At 55.3% G+C, this 12,838-nt stretch overlaps 1 protein-coding gene across 20 annotated transcripts in view, besides 2 other annotated features; it reads right to left on the bottom strand.

Moving 5' to 3' along the window:
• Positions 1 to 12,838, bottom strand: part of HPCAL1 (hippocalcin like 1) — a 124,701-nt gene that overhangs the window by 55,789 nt on the left and 56,074 nt on the right. For 2 of the 20 annotated variants that reach the window (XM_017003953.3, NM_001258358.2), the window contains exon 1: positions 3,079 to 3,156. The exons of 16 other annotated variants lie outside the window; for them this stretch is intronic. The gene's annotated coding sequence lies outside the window, so the exon portion shown is untranslated. Of the gene's footprint in view, positions 1 to 2,598; positions 3,037 to 3,078; positions 3,157 to 12,838 lie in introns of those variants that run through there. 2 more of the 20 variants (XM_047444100.1, NM_001258359.2) reach the window with 1 other exon arrangement.
• Positions 2,199 to 2,493: a silencer, noted in NCBI's record as "tiled region #2000; K562 Repressive non-DNase unmatched - State 5:Enh". NCBI's record gives its function as "represses a minimal TATA promoter and a strong SV40 promoter by Sharpr-MPRA in K562 cells {active_cell/tissue: K562}" and the evidence as "EXISTENCE:reporter gene assay evidence [ECO:0000049][PMID:27701403]".
• Positions 3,131 to 3,938: an enhancer, noted in NCBI's record as "OCT4-H3K4me1 hESC enhancer chr2:10508004-10508811 (GRCh37/hg19 assembly coordinates)". NCBI's record gives its function as "activates a minimal SCP1, AML or CMV promoter by ChIP-STARR-seq in naive H9 embryonic stem cells {active_cell/tissue: H9 hESC(naive)}" and the evidence as "EXISTENCE:reporter gene assay evidence [ECO:0000049][PMID:30033119]".

Here is a 12,838-nt window from a genome sequence, read left to right as displayed (position 1 = left end):
TCCTCCATGGCACGCTGACCCCTGACAGCGAGGTTCTTGGAGCACACCAGGCCCAGGGACCTTTCCGGGCAGGCCCAGGTCCAGTGCCTGGCTGACACTCAGGTGGCCTCCTCTAGGAGGTGAATAGGGAATCTTAGAGGGAGGAGGAGGAGTTTGGAATGGAAGGCAAGGGGAAGGCTGCCCTGGGAACAAAGGCAACAGTGTTGACTGGCGTCGAGGAGACAGACATGGTGTCTCCTAATTGTCCACTCTTCCCACTGACTGACCCCTCACTGCAACAGGACACAGGACTCTGCAGGACCCCCAGGTCACAGCCAAGGTGGGGCCACACTGGGGGCTTCCTACCCAGGTGGGGCTATCCAGTCAGAGACCATCCCCCCACCCCACCCCACCCCCTGGGCCTACACCTGGGGCCTCAAAGCCCAGGTGAACAGGGCGAATGATTTAGGAAAAGCTCTTCTTGGAGGAGAGCCAGAAGAGGGTAAAAGACGGGGGCAGGTGTGGACACAAGCCTGGCTTGTCCACTCAGTTCTGGGGGCACAGTCACCTCCAAGGAGACAATGTATAGTCCCACTGGCATTCCCCTCCAACCCCGGTGGCCAGCCAGACCCACTAACCCAAACTGCAAATGACAGGGCCACAACAAACCACATGCCACCCCAAACCCGCCCTGCCTGGCCCCAGGGCTCCACCCCTGCTGCTCCAGGCCCTGGTAACACCCACCTGCCCACTGGCCTCCTCTGTTTGCTCCATGCCAGGTCACTGGACCCTGCAGCCTGGAGGTGCCTCCTCTGTTTGCTGGCTCCATGCCGGGTCACTGGACCCACAGCCTGGAGGTGCCAGCTCTGCCTCGGATCCCACAGGTGAAGGGGGCTGCCCCGTCACACGTCCAATTCTGTGACAACTTTAGGTGGGCCCCCTTAGCTTGGAGATGAGGAAACTGAGCCCCACGGGGATGAAGGATAGCCAAAACCTGGTAGAAAAGTTGGAATTTGAGCCCACGTCCTCCCAGAACGCTGTTGCTACCTGGGAGCCCCCAAGACCCCCAGGAGCAGGGCACCACATCTTTGGGATTTTCCAAAAGCTGGTACACCTGTATGGGTGGCTCCAAAACACACCCCTGGCAGACTCCTGTGCCCTGCAAAAGGCCAATGCCAGCAGTGGCCCCATCATCTGGAGTCTGCCCTATGTGCCCTGGCATCATGGGGCAGCCTTGCCTGAGGGCTAGCTCACAGTTGCTGCTCAGTTCCCACATGTTAGACCCCGCTCTGGGGACCAGACAAAGTGGCTGGCCCTCAGCCAGCCCCTCCTCTGCTCCTTGAAGCCTCTTCCTACCTGCATCCAACTAAGTGTTCCCCAGAGAGCCAGCAGGATCTGCACATGAGGGTTTAGGGCTTGTATGGGTTGGAACAAAACAGGTCAGTGTCAAGCCAGCCTGGAAATCCTAACCCCAAAATCTTCCCCCACTGCCAAGTCCCAAGCATGCACCTGCAGGCAGGCATGGGTGAGCACAGGCTGCTTCTCTGTGCCCCCGCAACATACACAGGTGTCCCACCTGCTCCACGACTGACGGGAATTCGATTGGAAGAAGATAAAAGCAGAGGCGATTTGGGGAATGGGAAGGGAGCCACTACTGAAGGGAAGGAGAAATGCAGGAAGGAGAGTGGAAAGAGGGTGCGCAGATTAGCCAGGCATGCCCAATGGGCCCATACAAAGGAATGCGGAGACTCCACTTGGGCAGAAGGCCAAGGCCAAATACAGTATCTATGTGCCTGCCACTCCTGAGGCCTAACCCAGCACATTTCTTGAAGATAAGTGGGCCAGGTAGGCGCCTGCACATTGAGATAAGGGCTAAGTATAGAAGGAGAAAGTTGTTTTTTCCAAAACGTTAAGAAGCACATTTCAAGGAGTAAGGAGGTCTCAAGGACACACTGGGGGCAGCCTAATGAGGCCAGAGCCTTTTCCTTTTTCAAAATTACAAGCTGAACTTCTATGCCTCCTTTGAGCTCAATTTCAGCTTTCCCTAGTGGATCCGAACACGGCATATTCATTATTATTTGATTAATAAGGACCTGGTGACAGTTTCCAATGGACAAAGTTAGCTGGCTTAACCACCACCTCCTCCAAGAAGGCCTCAGGGATCCCCTCTCAGTTCTCTGCTACATTTAGGCTGCCCCTGAGTCCCATCAGAGCCCACCTCCCTCTGCCTGGAGCCCTTGCTGCTGTTGAACTTGCTCCTGCCTGGGACAGGTGCTCACAAATGCTGTCAAACGGGCCTGAGCTATGAGGCAGCCAGGAAGCCAGGGCTCCGGCCCCACCAAGTGTCAACATCCACCTTGATCCAGCCTCCCAGGCCTGCAAGTACTATGGACTCAGAGGCAGACATTCCTGTAGGTCCTCTATGGATTCTGCAGACAGGCAAGGCCAGAAAAAATCCCGAGAGAATTCCTCAAGGGCTGGAGGAAAATCCTAACTAGCCATGATGGCCGTGGAAGCCATCACAACCCCTTACAAGGGATATGTGAGCCCTGAGGTCAACAAACTCTAAGAGGCAAGATGGGGGCACAGAAATCAGGCCACGGGCATCATGTGACTCACATGGCAGGACTCAGTGGCCCTCTGCTCCCCACATCACAGAGCTGGAGGGGAATCCTTGTGTTGCTGCAGCCACCCCGGCACAGGGTTTTCAGCCTGAGAGGGCTCCTTGATGTGATGGGCAGGTTCCAGTGCGAAGGTGGCCAGCCTGAGGCGACCGTGAGTCCTCAGGCTTCCCCCAGTCACAGGGCAACGCCATCGGCTGCCGCCAGCTTGGGAGATGTGCTTTTGGGAAAATCAAGTCACCACAGCATTCTCCTGCGGTCCCTCCCCACTCGGTTTAGATGTTGGTGAAGAAAACGAAGCCAGTTACGGCAATGACTTCCAACAGATACAATCAAATAATCTATTCCTGGATTCCGCAAGTACTGAAATGTCGGTAATTCAATTCCTGAAATGCCATTTTGGAGCTGCCGGAGCAGGCTGCGGAGAAAGCTCAGTAAACACACACATCAGTTCAAGCCCAAACACACACCCACTGACCTTGAGCCCCGGTGCCCGGCGCTGTGCTGAGAGGCCAGCTCCCCAAGGGCGGCCACCACCAGACAGGGCCTGGGGAATGGGCGGTCCAGGAGGGAGGCAACAGCAACAGCAAATAAATATTGACAACGCTGCAGGAGGCGTGCTGCTGGGAAAATGTGGACGAACTGCACTGAGCTCGAGGAAAGAGTACTCAGTGTGTCTGGGGGAGTCAGAAGGCTCCCAAAGCAGGCTTGACTTACTCTGTGATTAAAAGCCAGGCCGGAGCTGGGAGCTGGGGGAACAGAGAGGTGGGAACCACCCTGCCCTCAAGGAGCTCTGGCCGAGTGAATGCAGACACACATATGCTGACACGCACACACACCTACACACACATATGCACACACACACACAAACCTACACACACTGCACACACACCCACACGTGCATATGTGCACACACATGCACACCTACACACACGTATGCACACACATGCACAAACCTACACACAATGCACACACACACATGCATATGTGTACACACGCACACCCCTACACACACGTATGCACACACATGCACAAACCTACACACAATGCACACACACACCTACACATGCACGTGTGCACACATGCACACACCTATACATGTGTATGCGCATATGCACACACAGGCACACACCTACACATGTGTATGGACACACACATGGAAAGCTTTGGAACTGAGGTCACCATATGCACACACATCTACAATGCACATGTACACACATACACACCTACACAGGTATATACACACATGCACACACCTATATACACATATGCACACACCTACACACGCATATGGGCACACACGCACATACACACATGCAAGCACACAGGCACACAGTCCCAGGGCAGGCAGGGTAAGGGTCACATGAGGAATCCTGAACACCCCACACTGTGTGGGGATCCAGGGCCGGCGAGGGTGGCCGCAGCAGCAGAGGCTGCTCATGTCCGAAGCTCTGTCACCCTCCACTCCAGCACAGGGCTCACACTGACATCAGTTCTAAGGCTTTCCATGGGAGTGTGGGTCATGGGACTGTGATATGGGACAAGGGCTTTTCTGGCACTTTCGACAAATTTTTGCAAGGAAGCATAAAATTTACATCTAAACCAACCCGTGGGATGACAGTGATTGTTGTTGCTATTATGATTTTGCTTTACATATTATTATACTTTCTGAAATGTATGAATTGGAGATTAAAATTTTAGTTGAGCCCAGGAGTTTAAGACCAGTCTGGGTAACATGGCAACATCCCATCTCTACAAAAAATTAGCCATGCGTGGTGGCGCACACCTGTAGTCCCAGCTATTCAGGATGCTGAGGTGGGAGGATCACTTGAGCCTGGGAGTTTGAGGTTGCAGTGAGCTATGATCGAGCTCGCACTCTAGCCTGGGTGACAGAGCAAGACTCTGTCTCAAAACAACAACAACAACGACAGCAACAAAATCCCCCCTTAAAACAACACTACCATCCGCCCGTCATCTGTATATTAAATATCTAACTGTAAAAAGTCTCAGCCTATTTTGAGAGATGAAGTTACCCTCAAGTCCCAAGCAGATGACAATAAACTGGAAAAGCAATGGGAAATCTCCAGACAGAACACCCAGGTCCTCCACCAGATGCTCCTCCCGGTCTCTCTTGGGCCATCTGGAGGGTGTCAGATCAGCTGGGCGAGCAAGGGCAGGGCCAGCCTCACTGTGGGATCTCAGGCAGCCTCCTCGCCCAGCCAACGTCTTTGTCCCAACACATCAAGGAACCTGGCGTCCCTCACCCCAGGAAAATCCTGGGCCTACACAGCCTCCTCAAACAAGGTCACTGTATGAGACACACTCAGAGCTGCCCCCGGCCCCAGCATCCTTGGATCTAGCAGTGAAATAGTTGGTGCCTTCACCGTGCTGTGGTGGGAGGCCCAGAGGTCAAGGTGCAGAAAGCCCGTACCACAGAGCTCCTAGTGGAGAAGACGGGAGTGGAAGCACACAATGCAGGAAGCCCGGGGCTGGGGAGCCGGGGCAGGTGCCAGAGAAGGTCTCCAGACCAAGCTTGAGCTGCAGGGCGGGAGTCGGATCATGGCCAGCACTGTGAGCTTGGTATGGGTGAGTCTCCTGATGCCAGACAGATGTGCTCTTGGAACATCTGTCTGTGAACCTCATCTGGGAGAACCAGATCTTTATTTAAAGTAAATTAAGGGGCCAGGCGTGGTGGCTCACGCCTGTAATCTCAGCACTTTGGGAGGCCAAGGCAGGTGGATCCCCTGAGGTCAGGAGTTCGAGACCAGCATGGCCAACATGGTGAAACCCCGTCTCTACCAAAAATACAAAAATTAGCTGGGTGTGGTGGCGGGTGCCTGTAGTCCCAGATACTCAGGAGGCTGAGGCACAAGAATCGCTTGAACCCGGGAGGCAGAGGTTGCAGTGAGACGAGATCGCACCACTGCACTCCAGCCTGGGCGACAGAGCGAGAACTGTCTCAAAAAAAATTAATAATAATAAAACAAAATAAAGCAAATTATGAGACTTTGCTCCTTAAGGGACCCAAAGACACACCCACTGACCTTGAGCCCTGGTGCCCGGTGCTGTGCTGAGAGGCCAGCTCTCCAAGGCCAGCCACCACCAGACAGGGCCCAGGGAATGGGCGGTCCAGGAGGGAGGCAGCGGCAACCACGAATAAATATTGACAACGCTGCGGGAGGCGTGCTGCTGGGCAAACGTGGACGAACTGCACTGAGCTTGAGGAAAGAGTACTCAGTGTGTCTGGGGGAGTGAGCGTCTCCTCATGAGGCGTGCATCCCTGGTCTATATCACGTATAGCTGATCTCAATGGGAGGCCGAGGACATGCGGTGTGGGCTCAGCACCCAGCAGGCGAGGCTCGCTCACAGAGAGGCAGCAAGAGGACCTCAACCCAGAATGCAGCAGGCCTAGGTCCAGTCTGGAGGGCCACCCGCACCCCCTCACACACCCTCTTCTCCAAGCCTCATCCCTGAAGTGAACACAGAAAGGCCCACTCAGGTGGGTGTAGGGAGCCTGAAGGAGGGTGGGCGGGGACCACCAAGCACCTGTTAGCTGTTGCCACACCTTTGGCTTCGAAGCAGCTAAGGGGGAGGGAGGTGTGCGGTCGGGGGTTGGGCGGGACATCATAACGCCAGGGCTGAAGGGGAACCACCCAAGGTCAGGTGGGAAGAGAAACAATGGCTCCTGGCTGCAGCCTCCAAGAAAAGCCATCCATGGGAGACCCACCTGTCCCTCCGCAAGCCTTCGACCCGCTCTACCTCCAACTCCTGCACAGACTCCGGGCTGTCCGTTCAAATAGCTGGCACCTCGTCTGCCCATCTCCATGACACGAGGTGTATTTATTTCCAAGAACATGCCCCAGAGGAGGGGCTCACGCTCTTGCAATTACCGCGCCACCACCTGGAGGCAGGTGCACAGTGAGGGCACCCACTGGATGATCAAGATCCCAGCTGTCCTGGAATGCCACCCAATACCATCCAAGAGGAGCAAGGTCAGGGTCGGAGGCCTAGACCTCTCTGGCGGCCTCCATTTCTCCTTCCGTACATGAGGTGGCTAAGTTCAGAACTCAGGGCGGGTGGTGTGGACACTCTCATTTAGGGATGGGGATAGGGGTACATGAATCCCTTCCACCAAGCACCTGGAACTCTGGGAGATTTTGAGGCTGGTGGCCAAAGGCATCAGGACACACACACCTGGTGGCACCTGGGTGACATCACAGAGATGTACAAGCTCACATTGTAGAAGGCCCCACAGTGGACAGGGCTTGGGGAGGAGGGCTTGGTCCCCCTACCTCAGAGAGGGAGAAAAGGACATAAAAGCGGGGAGGGATGGTCAGGTGCAGTGACTCACACCTATAAACCCAGCACTCTGGGAGGCCGAGGCAGGAGGATTGTTTGAGCCCAGGAGTTCAAGACCAGCCTGGGCAACATGGCAAAACTCATCTCTACAAAATATACAAAAATTAGTCTGGTGTGGGGGCATGCACCTGTAGTCCCAGCTACTTGGAAGGCTGAGGTGGGAGGATCACCTGAGCCGGGGGAGGTCGAGGCTACAGTGAGCCATGATCGCACCACCGCACTCCAGCCTGGGTGACAGAGTGAGCCACTGTCTCCAAAAAAAAAAAAAAAGGAGGCGGGAGCTTAGGAGAGGAGGCCGTCAGGGCCGGGGAGGGAAGTTCATGGAAACCATCCCGAGGGAAGCAGCGAGGAGTCTCCCCCGGGACACCCGATCGGCCTCCTCGTGCCCCACACAGCCTCCAGCTCCTGCCTCCCTGGCCATCGCATTCCAGGTCACTGGCCTTGGGGCCCCTCCCTTCCCTGATGTCGGCAGTCATTCCCAGGAGGGTGGGGGAAAGAGTAGGGGGGGCCTCACCCTCACCTCTCGGTGCTCAGGGCTCTGGCCAGTCCTTACTGTTCAAGAAAACAACCTCAGCTTCCCGGAGGGACCCCCGGATGCCAGGCAGAAGTGGGGGCTCTGGGCCCAGCTCCCACACTCGACCCCAGGCAGACACCCGCCTCTGGGTGCTCTCTAGGACCTTTGCCACCCACGTGCTGGGAGCCTGTGCACCCAGGCAGGGCAGGAGGACAAGGTCACTACCATCTCCAAGGTCACTGCAAGCTCCTCCCAAACTGAGGCCTGGAGGCCCTAATATAACCCACTCCCAAGGTCCACCCCTCCTCCAGGTGGCCTGCCCCACCAAGCTGGGACCAGTGCCCTTCCCTCTGGGGTGTCCCACCCCACCACCCGGCCAAGCGCCCCGAATCATCAGGCCTCCCTGAGCACCAGCTGAGTCGGCTCAGGGCACTAAACGCTTACCAGAAGGCAGGCAACCCCGACAGTGCCTAAAACAGAAGGGGCAAGATTGCCACTTAACAGACCAGAGAACCAAGGCTCAGAGATGGGAAATAACTCATCCAAGGTCACGCAGCCCACACAAGGACTGGAGATCCGAAACAAGCCTGGCTCCCCAGCCTTGCCGTGCCCAAACTGTGGCTGGCCTCAGAGCCACCTCCGGAGCTTGTTTAAAATGCAGATTCCTGGCCCCACCCTAAAGATTTGGCTTCAGCAGGTCTGGGATGACCCAGGAATCTGCACTTTAGCTTGTGAGCTCCCCGGTGGTTCTGACAGGAGGAGGCTTCGGGTCACACACTTCCCAGAAATACAGCTACACCACATGACTCTCCAGACCTGAAACGCCACGTGTAGAGGGTATAGGCAGGACTATGTAAGAGGCATCCCGAAAGGTCGCTTCTGGAAGCTCCTACAAACAGCCAAGAAAGCCCCGAGGTTCTTCAGTCGATCCAAGTTATCAGAGCAGCAGAAATGGGGGTGCTGGACGGTAAACGTCTGCCCAGCACCCCCAGCAGCTCCTGCCCACCTGTCACACCGTGGAGCTCCAGGAGTCAGAAATACTTTTCTTGCCATGGTGTGGCAGTGACCTCAGAAGGGCTGCAGGGGAATCACTCTCCCACCACTCCGCCCCTAATGCATTTACAAAAAATAACAACCCTCCCATCTCAAGCCTACCTCAGGAAAAAAATCAGATACAGCATGGGTTAGAGTGAGAATGGGTTTTATTTTTTATTTACTTTTTGAGACAAGGTCTTGCTCTGTTGGCCAGGCTGGAATGCAGTGGTATGATCATGGTTCACTGCAGCCTCAACCTCCTAGGCTCAAGTAATCCTCCCACCTTGGCCTCCCAAAATGCTGAGATTACAGGCGTGAGTCACTGAGAGAACCATCAAAGGGGCACCTAGCTGTGTGACTCTGGGAAAACCAGTTTCCCTCTCTGGGCCAGGGATTCCCCAGTCCGACTGTCCTCTGAGGTCCCCCTCTGCTCAGGAATGGTCCAAACTCACCCTCTCTAACACAGGCCACAGCTGTGCTAAAGCCGCCATTCAACCCAATCTCATGACTCAGCACTCCTACCTGATGCAGGGGCTTCTGGCTGCCCTCCTCAGCGTCTGGGCTGGGGAAGGTGCCAGGAGAGCCCCTCTGTGAACAGACTCGCATTTGGGATGGCCTCAGGGCTACCCTCCCTTCTCTCCCAAAGCAGCAGAAATGGGATCCCGGTCTGCAGATAATCAGCCTGGGGCTGATATGTCCCTGGTGAGGCTGCCAAGTGGCAGAACATTACAACAGAACACCGTGGAGGCCTTCCCCATCGCCCAGCTCACCTTTCCTTTCCTGAAGGAAAGAAGCAGACATGTTCCTTCCCTGTCCTCTCCTCCTCTTGCTCAGCCCGGCCCCCTGCATTCCGGGGGGTCTATCCACAGGAGTAGGACATGGAGGAGCTCAGGCTGGCCTCTCTCTGGAGCCAGGACTCAGGCATTCGAGGCTCTGCTTGCTGTCATGTGGCCCTCCCTGGACTGTTGTCCCCCATGCTCCTGCCCCCGCCCCCCATGCTGCCACTCCAGGACTGAGTGCCAACAGCTCATTCTCGACACCTGGGTTCCGAAGCTCCGTTTGCCTCCATGAGGCTGGCACACAGCAAATGCTCCAAATGCTCAATTGACTCGCTGGCAGAGCAAACTGGATGCAATGGCAGCAGAGTCAAGTGAACCAGCTCCACAGCCCTGCCCATCACTTACTAGCTAAGTGATCTTGGGCACATGACTTAACCTCTCTGAGCCTCAGTTTCCTCATTTTAAAAGAGATGAGAATCCCAATTCATAAGATTATTGTAAGAATTAAATTAGCTAATGTCAGCCACACATGGCAGCTCATGCCTGTAATCCCAACACTTTGGGAGGCTGAGGCAGATGGATCACTTGAGGTCAGGAGTCTGAGGCCAACATGATGAAACACCATCTCTATTAAAAATACAAAAATTAGGCAGGCATGGTGGCGGGCGCCTATAATCCCAGCTACTCAGGAAGCCGAAGCAGGAAAATTGCTTGAACCTGGGAGGCAGAGGTTGCAGTGAGCAGAGATCATGCCACTGCACTCCATCCTGGTTGACAAGAGTGAGACCCTATCTCAAAAAAAAAAAAAAAAATTTAAGAAGTTAGCTAATGTACATGAAAGCATCTGGCAAGCTTTCGAGAACTATGGAAACGTTATTTATGTGATTATCAAAAGATAACAGTCGCCTTATGAGAAATCCTAGCCCTCTGATATATTAGGGTAATACTGATAACATAAGAAGGGCTTTCACACCTGTGTACATGGCTGAGGAAATCAGTTTAAAAGAATTAATGAATCATCCACCTCAAGTCCCTAAACCTGACTGGTTTCCCAAGAACAATGAGAAGATAAGTCCTCAGCTAGACAGCTGGGATCTGTCAGGACCCTCTGCTGGCGTTTTTCCCTTCCAATAATTTGAAGGCAATTAGGGCAACTGATTAAAATTCCAGAGACAGAGCAAAACAAAGCATGACTTATCTGTACACTCTCCTCATTAGACAACGAGGCCACAGTGGAACCAGCCTGCTCTCTCTCTCTCTCTCTCTCTGGGATCCACCCATTCCCTCCCATCCCTCTACAACCATTGCTTGGGATCTCCCCACGAGCCCGACCACCCACCCAGGAGCCCACGGACTCGCCTGGAAAACCACACTGGCCACCGTCCAGCACTGGGGAGGCCAGACACGCCGGGCTTTCCAGGGCAGTCTCGCCTGTCTCATCTAGTATGACAGAAAAGGAGTCCCCAGGCCAACAGGCTCAGGACCATGTCCGACTATGTCATTCCCACAGATCCCAGCCCGCAGCACACGCAAGGCACACGCCAGACACCCAGGAGGAGACCGTGGAGAGAATACTGCTGGACAGGCAAACAAAAGCATATTCAGAACATCCAAAGGCACGTGGTGAGGAGAGAGACAGAAAGCAGGGGAGGATGGAGCAAGCAGGCCAGATAGGAGGAAGAGGAGAGACAAGAGAGGAGAAGAGAGTCCCAGGTTAACTATGCTGGAATGGCTACAGGGCTGAGGCCTCACCAGGAAAATGGCTGGTTTCCCATCACAGGAGATTCATTTTCCAAAGGAATGTGTGATAAGATTCAGGTAAGGCCGGGCGGCATGGTGGCTCAAGCCAGCACTTTGGGAGGCCCAGGTGGGCGGATCACCCGAGGTCAGGAGTTTCAGACCAGCCTGGCCAGAATGGTGAAATCCTGTCTCTACTAAAAATACAAAAATTTTGCCAGGTGTGGTGGCGGGTGCCTGGAATCCTGGCTACTGGGGAGGCTGAGGCATGAGAATCGCTTGAACCCGTAAGGCAGAGGTTACAGTGAACAGAGATCGTGCCACTGCACTCCAGCCTGGGTGACAGAGCAAGATTCCATCTCAAAAAAAAAAAAGATTCAGTTAACATCTACCCAGCAGGTGGAGGTTCTGTTCTGTTTCTGTTTTCCATTTCTCCATCTTCCGTATTTGAGCTCATTCGCTTTGTGAGAGAAGTCTCCCATGAAACGGGACCTCAGGGACTCTCCAAGGCCCTTCGGCTCACCCTGCCTGGGAGTCTAGGGAACTTCTCTTTCTCTTGGATGAGGCTCCTGGTGCCTGCTGCCTGGAATTCCCTTCCCTGGTGGTGCACCCCTCCCTTGCCAGCTCCTGGAGACCGCAGCAGAGTCACCCGACACGCTCTACCCAGGGGGAATGAGGACATGGGTCCTTGGCACTGCACTTCCTCCAGCAAAGCTCTCCCCAGGGTCTGAGGCCTGCTGCGCCAGGAGCCCGTGCTGGGTCCCGACACCCCACACAGTGAAGAATGAATGAAGGAATGAGTTAGTGACGGTGTGCTCAGCCCACATCAAACCTGGTGGGCGCTGTGGACCCGGCGGGCGCTGTGGACCCGGCGGGCGCTGTGGACCCGGCGGGCACTGTGGAAGGAGGCAGGAGGCAGGTTCAGAGTGTGGAAGCTGAGGGGAGATGCAGCCTGCTCTGGAAAGGGCCCTCCCTGTGCCTTCACAATACATCAATAAAACCGCCACCGCTGTGGGGGACACGGGGATCTGGGTAAGGCCCCTTCCTCAGAGTGGAGAGGTGCTGGCCTGGCCTTGCCACTGCCCTTCAGGGAGTGTGGTCTGCCTGCATTTGGAGGTGGGACCGCCAGCCACTGAGTGGGCCTGGAAGGCCACCAGAGCTTGGTCCTGATGGGCTCTAAAGAGTTCCAGGCCCTCAATGAGGCCAGAGCCCTGACTTCATCCTCCAGGCCACCTGGGAAGTGGGGTCCCCGAGGGACAGAGGGTGGGAGAAATGTTCCCTCTGGGCCAACTCTGCCTCTAATCCTGCTGCTGTCACAGAGGCCATGAGGCCGGGGCCTGCAGGGACTTTCCTCTGGGAACAAAGACATCTCAACTTCTTAATCTCTGCGTTGAAGTCTCCTGCCTGCAGGGGCTAGAAGGGAAAACAGAGGTGAGAGGAACCAGGTGACACGGAGCCACTAACCCATGCCAGCCGCAGGGTCCAGAGAGCCCCCAGCTGCCCACCTCCCCCTCGCCGAGCCAGCCCGCAGCAAACATAGGCACACACCAGACACCCATGGACACCAAGGGAGTGGCCACCAGGAATTTCAGAAAACAGCAGGAAACTGTGGCTGTGAAACGGGAAAGGTTCCCTTTTCCCCCTCAAAGGGCATGTGATGGGGGTATGGCTCGCTTCGTCAGTGTCCCGCTGCTCAAACCTCTAGGGGAGCATGCAGACGGGTCAAACCTCGAGGGGAGCATGCAGACGGGTCAAACCTCAAGGGGAGCATGCAGACGGGCAGGCTGTGGGGCTCCAACCCCATGGTAGTGTCT

The sequence above is a fragment of the Homo sapiens genome, chromosome 2 (assembly GCF_000001405.40).
Source record: "Homo sapiens chromosome 2, GRCh38.p14 Primary Assembly".
NCBI classification, from domain to species: domain Eukaryota; kingdom Metazoa; phylum Chordata; class Mammalia; order Primates; family Hominidae; genus Homo; species Homo sapiens.
The sequence above is the reverse complement of the archived record's forward strand: the minus strand, read 5'-3'. Positions and strand labels throughout refer to the sequence as shown.